The sequence below is a fragment of the Homo sapiens genome, chromosome 2 (assembly GCF_000001405.40).
Source record: "Homo sapiens chromosome 2, GRCh38.p14 Primary Assembly".
NCBI lineage: Eukaryota > Metazoa > Chordata > Mammalia > Primates > Hominidae > Homo > Homo sapiens.
Window position 1 is genome coordinate 38,430,353 of NC_000002.12, and position 9,773 is coordinate 38,440,125.

The window sequence follows — 9,773 nt, forward strand, 5'->3', positions numbered from 1 at the left end:
GAAGGGACGCAAGTCGCGCCCGCAGGGGTGTGAGGTTGTTTCACACAGCGTTGGGGCAGGCATTCCAGCTCTCAGTAAGAACTAATATGGTTCAATGTACGCTAACTCCCCCAAGGAATCTGCAGTTCACATTAGGCAAAGGGTATAAAGCTCTAATTATGAACTCCGCAGCCAGAGTGGACCATGAAGTTGAACATTTCCACAAAGAAGAGGAGAGACTTACTTTCCCATGCTCTGAAGTCACACTTCCTGCCCTGTACTCTAGGAGCGATGCGAAGCCTCAGGACTCAAGCTTATTTCTGAAGCAAGGTCTCAAGTCAAAAAAAAGAAAAAGAAACATTTAGACTTGCCCCTTCTGAGGAGTCGCTATTCTGTGCCTCTCTAGGGGCCACCTTTGCTCAGAGGCTCCGTTAGGCTGGTGAAGCAGGGGGCTACAGTGGGAGGGAGAAAGGCTGAACATTCCTCAGCGTCGGCGTCGGCGTCCATGGGGGGCTCTGAGCGATGGCCTTCTCCGCTTGCAAGGTCATTGGTCTTTGAGCCGGACTCGCTGCCTAAGGCAGGCTAAGACTGGCATATTAGCATTCCATCTACATTTAACTTGGAATAAATTCTAGATTTAGCCCTGCAGCTAGGATGGAATTTTTCCCCTTCCGCTGCCCTCCCGCTTCCTGCCTTAGAGCTGGGTCTGGGGTGAGGCAGATGAGGGGCTAACAGCGTAACATGCAGAGAGGCTCTTGCACCACCGTGAGAGTGAGCGCATGTCTCCTACAATTTTTCCACTCTAGGTCCTTTGCTTGTCACACAGCGTGGTTACCTCTTCCTCACCTGCAGCTTCAGCCCCACTGTGTTGTCATAATGACTTAGCACCTACAAAATGAAAAGAGGGCCAAAAAAACCCCCCAAAACGTCTAGCTTCCCCCTCAGTTAAGTGTTCAAAGTGTCCTAACTTCCAGCTTTGAAATAGGACTGAAGATGAACCATGCTCCTGGCACCCCCTGTTGAGAGCCCAAGTTCAGCAGATTGCGGCCATGGGGGACTGAAAATGGAGCCCTGGACAAAGACACTTGCTGGGTGACCCAAGGCAAGGTACACTTTGACTGGCACATCTATTGAATGAGTATATTAAGAGTTTGGGGTTTTAGGCTGGGGGCGGTGGCTCACGCCTGTAATCCCAGCACTTTGAGAGGCCAAGGCAGGCGGATTGCCTGAGGTTAGGAGTTCAAAACCAGCCTGGCCAGCATGGTGAAACCTCATCTCCACTAAAAATACAAAAATTAGCCAGGCATGGTGGCAGGCCCCTGTAATCCCAGCTACTCAGGAGGCTGAGGCAGGAGAATCACTTGAACCTGGGAGGCGGAGGTTGCAGTGAGCCGAGATTGTGCCATTGCACTCTAGCCTGGCAACAGAGTGAGACTCTATCTCAAAAAAAAAAAAAAAGGGTTTGCGGTTTTAGAAAGAAGAGAGATTCTAGAATCTCAGAGATTTCCTTTTTTTTTTTTTTTTTTTTTTTTGAGACAGAGTCTCATTCTGTCTCCCAGGCTGGAGTGCAACAGCACAATATCAGCTCACTGTAGCCTCTGCCTGCCAGGTTCAACCAATTATCCTGCCTCAGCCTCCTGAGTAGCTGGGACTACAGGCTCCCACCACCACGCCCAGCTAATTTTTGTATTGTAGTAGAGATAGGGTTTCACTATGCTGGCCAGGCTGGTCTCAAACTCCTGACCTATAGAGATCTGCCTGCCTGGGCCTCCCAAAGTGCTAGGATTACAGGCGTGAGCCGCTGCGTCTGGCCGACCCTCTCAGATTTCCGACTCAGAAATGTAAACAGTGGAAAGAAGGCGAGAGAGCAGGCTAGTAGTCTCCAGAGAGATCTAATTGGCGGATAACAGAACTATAAGGGTTATTCTTCTGCCTCCAGATTACCTGGACATCCAAGCAGGGCTAGCAGCTCAGAATTGCCCCCAAGCACTTCAGTCTTAATCTTCTCATATGAAAAATAAAGGAATTTTGATTAGTGAATGGTTATCAACCATGACTATTCATTAGCATCACAAGGAGGCTTTGCAAACATCAGTGCCTGAGCCCCACCTCTAGAGATGCTATTGAATTAGTCAGGCCTAACCACTAGTCCTTTTCAAACTCCCCAGATGGTTCTACTCTACTGCCAGGCTTGAGAACCTCTGTGATGGGTGATGTCTCAGATTCCCTCGCTGACACACTATGATCCTGAGAGATAATAGTTAACTGCTTTTTGACTTGGCTTCTCTGGACAGAACCCAATTCAAACATTCCCATTAAAATGACCAAAAGTGTAAAGAAAGGTAAAGGGTCTTTAATTAAGTCTCTGGCCCCCTGGAAGAAGGAAGCTGGGGAAAAGACAGCCATGAGGGCAAGGTTAATGGTACATTTTTAAGTAAAAACGGCTCCAGAGACTCACAGCCACAGTGGCAGCTAAAAAGTCAAAATTAAGTTTCTCTATGTGCTCTGGCCCAGCCTAGGGGCATGGCCTTGTAGCCCTGATCACTATGCAGTTATTCAGCCGCCCTCCCAGGCGGGTGCAGGCCCTTGGGTAATCAGCCGACAATCTCAAGTTGACCTCCTGGGAGGCCACCAAAGCCAATTAAACTAGAGGTCACCTGGGTTCGGCAAGAATGGTGGCCAGCCTAGGCTTCACTGAGCAGCAAGTGAACAGTAGGCTGCAGTGAGTACAGTAGGTGTTAGAGCCTCAGCAAGCTGATCACATGCTGAGCACAGTAAAAGCCTGAAAGGCCCATGGAAGATTGGGCAACAGTGGATTGCAGGACCAAAGTCTCAGGGCAGAAGTTTATCTAGTACCTCACAGTAGATATTCCTAATCCAGCTGCCCAGTGCATTACACAGGGCAGGCTCTTTTCCAGGGCATAAAGGTGTTTTTTCTGTTGTTTTTTGTTTTTAATTCCCCTCCTGTTTTCTTTAGTTTTGCTTTTGTTTTTTTATTTCTCTCTAGACTTTCCATGTACACTATGAATGCCAAGTGCTGTGAATACCAACCCATGCTTTCAAAGAGCCTGCTGCCTCAGAGCATGTGATGTGGAACTTTCTGGTGGCCTCGGCGTGGAGGTTCTCAACCTCAGCTGCACACTGTGTTTAGTTGGTCTGGAGCGAGATCTAGGCATCAGTATATTTTTTAAGCTCCCCATGTGATTGTAATATGCAGCCAAGAATAAAAAAAAAAAACACTGGGCTAGGTCATTCCTGGCCGAGGTGAGGAGGTGGTGAGATGGATTGGAAGGGGACCATGGCAAGGATTCTTAGGGGTGTCAAGGAGGAGATGAAAGGAGGACTCAGACAAGGGGATCTGGCAAGTTTTCAGAAATCACCTGCTGATGCCTTTTAAAGCTAATGCCATTATTGAATCTTAGTCATCCATTCATCCTCTACTCACCAGTGACTAATATTGATGTGTTTTAGACATATAAAGATGAATTAAGACCCAGTCCCTGCCCTTAGGCGGCACACAGTAGGAGAGACAGACTCATGAACACATGGTGGTGTAATCAAAGTTAGTCATGGACTGTATATGTACTCAATTCTGGGGCCCACAGGGCACCCCATTCTGTGGGTAAGGGGCAAGCTCACCCCAATGTCAGGCATACTAGGAAGAGGCTAAAGCTAAAATATCCAATGAGAGCCTGCAAGGAGGGCCTTGGACAGGGGAAAGACAAGAACTTCTTGGGCTTTCTGGGCTTCCTCTCCAGAGCCTGTGTCCTGAGAAGTCTGTGAAGTAGGTACACTCAAGGTTACTCTACTGGACAACTCCGGGGGTGTCATTCATTTGTATTTTATGAAAACACTGCCCACTAGAGTTGTGCACCTAGATGGCATTGCGAGTGTGGTAAGAGAAGCTGACTCTGACCAGAGGGCTCCGGAAGGTGCCTCTGCCGTTTGATAAGGAAGCTCCTATGAGAAACACGGGAACAGATCTATGCCTGTGGGCTCTGAGAACAGCCACATCCAGAAGCCAGGCAGAAGATCCTCTATTTTTCTTTCCGGTTTTCCCAGAGCCTTCAGTGAAGTAGAATTAAGAACAAGTCTGTGGCCACCCTTTGGGCTGGCATGGTTCCAGACACTGGCATCCTCTAGGGCCAGGGTAGTTGTGGCATCCCCAGAACTGCAGAGAGGCTCACCACAGCATGGGCAGGGCTATGGTTTGCACGTGTCTCCCAAAATTTCATGTGTTAAAAACTTAATCCTCAATGCAACAGTGTTGGGAGGTGGGACCTAGTAAGAGGTGACTGGGTCAGGAGAGCAAAGCCCTCATGAATGGATTAACATCATTATTAAAAGAGTGGGTTGTTACAAAGCAAGTCTGGCTCCTGGTGCCTGTTGGTCTTCAGTGCTCACTTCTGCCTTCACCCTTCCACCATGGGATGACCCTCACCTATTGTCAGTGGCATGCTCTTGGATTGCCCAGCCTCCAGAACTATAAACTGAATAAATCTCTTTTCTTTTAAGTTATACTGTGGTTTTCTGCTGAAGCAGCAGCACAGTGAACTAAGACAGGCAGTGACCCAGAGGGATGAGGTCCCATGACTGAGACCTCACCCAATCACCCACAGAAATATACTAGATGGAAGGGAGGCTAGAAAGGGGAGTTGAGGTCCTGCCACCATGCTGGTGGGGATGTGTAGCCCATGGGCTTGGGTTTAATTTTTTTTTTTTTTTTTTTTTTTGAGATGGAGTCTCACTCTGTCACCTAGGCTGGAGTGCAGTGGAATGATCTCGGCTCACTGCAACCTCTGCCTCCCAGGTTCAACCGATTCTCCTGCCTCAGCCTCCTGAGTTGCTGGGATTACAGGCGTCCGCCACCACACCTGACTAATTTTTGTATTTTTAGTAGAGACGGTGTTTCACCATGTTGGCCAGGCTGGTCTGGAACTCCTGACCTCAGGTAATCTGCCCACCTTGGCCTCCCAAAGTGCTGGGATTATAGGCGTGAGCCATCACACCTGGCCACCGTTGCCAATTCTTGATGACGTCCAGAATTTTTTCTTGCTACCTGTGCCACATCCTGCTTTTGGAAGAAAGGAGGAGAGCGGTGGGCTTCTGTTGAATCACTCACCACCCACGTTTCCCCATAGCTGACAGGGAAGGAGTTGGCCATGGCCTCTATTGCATTATCCATTGTTCATTCCCATAAAAACAAAGGGATATCTTTCAATATCTAGGCAATGCAAAAACCTTGCCTTCCAAATAAGGTCTAACCTCTCTGATTCAACTTATCAAATAGCTAGCTCTACAGCCAAGGGTAAAACAAAGAGACCTCAGCTTTGGGCTGCAGGATTCAGCTTCCCAGATGGGAGGTGAGAGCTTGCTGGGCAAGTTCCTCCTCCATCTCCCACTAGTTCACTTTGACCTTCCTTTGATGGTCAAACCCATTTCTCCCAACCACCAGCATGATTCTGATCACTGTTTGGGTCAACCTGCTGACTCCTTCTCCACTTGGTCCCCTGCAAGAAAGCAGTGTGAAGCCTCTGGGCTTGTTGATTCAATAATCATCTTTATACTATACTTACTTAGGAAAAAAATGTCTTTGTGAGAAAAGACAGACAACAGACACCATGCCTGATACAGCGTCAGAAAGAAGCACTGTTTATTCAACTGACTTGATTAGTGAGTGCCAGACAGCTATTAGAACAAAAATCATGTTTTGGGGCAACAAAATCATGCTTTGGGTCTATTTGTGTCATGGCAAGCCTCCACAGAGTACCCAGATAATGCTTGTTATCGTCACCCATATTAGCCAAATGTTTGGATAAATAAAGATGTTGTATGAAATTCCCTATCTGTTGCTTTAACATAAATTCACATGGAGTGGTACACTGGTGAGTCATGTTCCATTTCATGGCTATATGGTTTCCATGGCCAAAAAAATGAGAAGAGGGCTTCCTTGGGCTGGGAATCTGTGTAAGAATGTGCTTGCTTAATCTGCTGCCCTCCTGTTTGCCTCCTCTGTGTACATACACCAGGTCCACCCCCAAGCCTATGGTTCATTGCACATTAGGTGACCTAATCCTTGAGTGGTTGCTGGAATTGTCCACCTGGGGCTAGTGTTTACTCTAAATAGACCCACTACACACACAGGTCAGAAGCCAACACAAGTGAGCCTTGGGCATGCCCATCCCGTTGACAGCCGCTTTCTTAGATCATCTACCTTTGTTTCCACTAGGCTCTGACTCCTTGCTCCATTTTGGTGTCTAGCTGGCTTGAAACCCTTTGGGCTTTGTGTCTTGTTCCCAGGCCCTGGTTGAGTATGATCTAATTCTGTGTCCTTGCATTTGACTGTCAGCAGTGGGCTGGTACCAGCCCTGAAGCTCCCTTGTAACCATACCCCAGCCTATCAGCATCAGTGAGGCCCCTCCAACTCTCCTACTGGACAAGTTCTGGTTTCCCTCATGGACGAGGGTTGAACAAAAATGAAAGATAAGTCAGTTGTTATGACTAGAAAAAGTGATTACCAGGCCCTCCCTAGAATCCCACCTCTTTCAGAGATATCCAAGTACAACACAGAGAACCAGAAGTGGCCAATTCATTTTGCCAATCAGGCTACATAGACTCATGAGTCACCTAAGATAGACACACCTTTTGAAAAACAGCTGCAAACAGACCTGGAACAAACACTTTCTTTTGCTGAGAGCAAATAAAAAGATTACGTTAGATGGATCTAGAAACATTTCTTTTATTTTTTTGAGATGGAGTCTAGCTCTGTCACCCGGGCTGGAGTGCAGTGGCATGATCTCAGCTCACTGCAACCTCCACCTCCCAGGTTCAAGCGATTCTCCCCCTTCAGACTTCCGAGTAGCTGGGATTACAGGTGCCCACCACCACACCCAGCTAATTTTTGTATTTTTTTTAGTAGAGACAGGGTTATACCATTTTGGTCAGGCTGGTCTCGAACTCTGACCTCAGGTGATCCGCCTGCCTCAGCCTCCCAAAGTGCTGAGATTACAGGCTGAGTCATCACTGACAATACTAGGAACATTTCTAAGATTCAAGGAAGAATCAAATAATCCAGTTCTTAAAAAGGCTTGGATGCAGCTGAAATTCACAAACAGCTAAAACCAGGAGCTACATCTCTGCCAGTCTCTGCTTCTTCCTACAGGAGGTCAAGTTCCTACTCATCTCTAAAGTCCAGCTTTCTCTTCACAGTTGAAAACCTGGCCACCAACAACTCCTGGCTATTTCTTTTTTTTTCTTTTTTTTCTTTTCTTTTCTTTTTTTTTTTTTTTTTTTTTTTGAGACGGAGTCTCGCTCTGTTGCCCAGGCTAGAGTGCAGTGGCACAATCTTGGCTCACTGCAACCTCCACCTCCCACCTTAAAGCGATTCTCCTCCCTCAGCCTCCTGAGTAGCTGGGACTACAGGTGCCTGCCACCACGCCCAGCTAATTTTTGTATTTTTAGTAAAGACAGGGTTTCACCATGTTGGCCAGGCTGGTCTCGATCTCCTGACCTCATGATCCACTCACCTCGGTTTCCCAAAGTTCTGAGATTACAGGCGTAAGCCACCATGCCCAGCCTAGCTTCTGGCTATTTCATCTTGCAGGTTCATCCACCGGAGAGAGGACCTCCACCCCCGCTCTCCTCTAGTCAGCCATCCTAAACCCTCAGAAGGAGCCATTGGTCCACCTTGTAATACGACTGCTTCTACTGCAGTCCCTTGATGGGGGCGAAGGTGCAGCACGACATGACAGTCCCAAAGGAAGGGAACTGCTGCAAAGGGCCAGAATAGGTGAGATTTATCACCTCATCTTGGTTCTCAGTTCCACCAATCCCAGCCCCATCCAGCAAAACAAGAATTCCCCTGTTGTGTTCAAGCTATGTCCAAAGATGAAGGCTACAGTCTGTTTTCCACAAACCACTTTTGGAATCCTTACCAAGTATTGGCTTGCAATACAAAGGATCCCTTCTCTATTACTATGTAACTAAAAAAAAAAAAAAATTGAGCTGCCCCATCTGAAAAGTCCCTGTGTCTTAGAAAAAGGCTTTGTTCTGTATTCTGGATGAGGCCAATCCTCAACAAAAGGCAATATAACAGAGAGGTTAACTTCACAGCTTCTGGAGTTAATTTAGGGATCAGTTCAAATCCCTGCTCCAACAGTTATAGGTGTATGACACACAGCCTCGGCTTTACTCTCTATAAATGAAGATAACTGATAGTCACTTCCTGGTGTTGGTATGAGGATAATTTGGGGCAAGGCATGAAGAGCACTTAGCATGGCACCCGGGACACAAAAGACCTTTAATGACACTGGATAGACTTGGTCTTCAGTGATGTCCTCTGCCTTTTTCTGCCATCTTCCCCCTCCTGCCATTCCCCAGGGAATCCAAGGCTCTGCCTCCAGGAACAGATGTTTCCCACCTGTTCCTCTTCCATATGACTTTGCAATGGATCTTCATGAAACATACACTCCCACCCCAATCTAAGACCCTTCATGTCTTGTTAAAACAGTGAAGATAAAGTTAAACTTCCCTAGAGTGGGCCCCAAGGCTACTTTCAATTTGGACCCTGCCTGCCTCTCCTACCTTGCAGTGTCTCCTTAAAAAAATCTCACCATGCTAGATCACTTGCTATTTCTCAGATATGTCATGCTCTTTTACCACAATGCATGACTGCAAACACTGTCCCCTCTTCCTGGAAAGCCCCTTCCCTGGCTAGCTCCAACTAGCCTAACCAGTTTTCATGATGTTTGTGATCAGGGGATTCCCAGAAACTTTTGCTGACCCCAACCCCCATTTCGAGTTAGACAAGCTTCCTCTGGCTCCATTCATGCCCACGTTTCCCTCTATCAGAGTCCTTATTACACTGTATTTGCTTGTATGTCTTTGTTATTAAATTCTGCTCTTCTTGAGAACAAGACTACATTTCCAGCATGAAGCACAGAGCCTGGCATAAAGGTAATGTTCAATAAAGTGTGATTGTCTGAAACACCAATGAGTATATTTAGGAAGCCATGTGTCCTGGTAAGAATGAAGATGAAATGTACAGTCCTTTTCCTCTTGTAGCTAAGTGAGTCACTGGGTACAAAACCCATGACCTTGCCCACAACACTCCAACTGGCACTTTCAGCTGCTTCATGGGAAACAGAATTCAACACTGCATGTAAAATACTGGATTTTAAATCCAGAAGCCTACCTGCAAAGTCCCTCTTTCTTGTGATCTTGGTCAAAATGCTTAGCCTTGTTTGTCTTGCCTATGAACAATTTTTTTTAATACTTGGCTATAGAAAATAAATACAATTATGCCTATAAAATTAAAAAGTATCTTTGATGTTTTTTTCCTACATGGCATTGTCATGGCTGCTATTGAAAAGATGACAATTATCCCAACCTCTAAGCCAAAGTTAGTCCTTGTTCCTGAATACCATCAAGTCATTGTCTGTTACAAGGAAACACTAGACATATTTTGTGCTTTTCTGGTGTCTGAGTATTGCATCTCAAGTGGAGGCCTGGGTCTTTTGTATATGTCTTGTATCTCTCATGACTTTTTATAGTATTCACTAGAGCCCGACTGTGGCCCAGAGCTGTCCTCAGAGGCTATGCTGTGGGACAAGGCCACAAGCAAAACTATAATGAGCTCTTCCTGGTGTTGCCAGAAAAAAGAACTCTTGGATAAGGTCAACGAATCTGTCCTTACAAAGATCTCTGTGTTTTCACAGGTCAGCCTCTAGTGAGGTAAGTAATAAAAAGGAAAAGCTGAAAATAACTGCAAGAACAAGGGTTGCATTATTCATCTG

The 9,773-nt window shown here is 46.5% G+C and overlaps 1 long non-coding RNA gene across 1 annotated transcript, besides 4 other annotated features; it reads left to right on the forward strand.

Moving 5' to 3' along the window:
- Positions 1-941: 941 nt before the first annotated feature.
- Positions 942-3,221, forward strand: LINC01883 (long intergenic non-protein coding RNA 1883). The gene is made up of 2 exons (NR_146454.1): positions 942-1,086; positions 2,987-3,221. It is a non-coding gene; the product is annotated as a long intergenic non-protein coding RNA 1883 (long non-coding RNA).
- Positions 5,895-6,189: an enhancer, noted in NCBI's record as "tiled region #2666; HepG2 Activating DNase matched - State 5:Enh". NCBI's record gives its function as "activates a minimal TATA promoter and a strong SV40 promoter by Sharpr-MPRA in HepG2 cells {active_cell/tissue: HepG2}" and the evidence as "EXISTENCE:reporter gene assay evidence [ECO:0000049][PMID:27701403]".
- Positions 5,895-6,189: a silencer, noted in NCBI's record as "tiled region #2666; K562 Repressive non-DNase unmatched - State 21:Repr". NCBI's record gives its function as "weakly represses a minimal TATA promoter and a strong SV40 promoter by Sharpr-MPRA in K562 cells {active_cell/tissue: K562}" and the evidence as "EXISTENCE:reporter gene assay evidence [ECO:0000049][PMID:27701403]".
- Positions 8,587-8,836: an enhancer, noted in NCBI's record as "active region_15606". NCBI's record gives its function as "activates an Ori minimal core promoter by ATAC-STARR-seq in GM12878 lymphoblastoid cells {active_cell/tissue: GM12878}" and the evidence as "EXISTENCE:reporter gene assay evidence [ECO:0000049][PMID:35858748]".
- Positions 8,857-8,906: an enhancer, noted in NCBI's record as "active region_15607". NCBI's record gives its function as "activates an Ori minimal core promoter by ATAC-STARR-seq in GM12878 lymphoblastoid cells {active_cell/tissue: GM12878}" and the evidence as "EXISTENCE:reporter gene assay evidence [ECO:0000049][PMID:35858748]".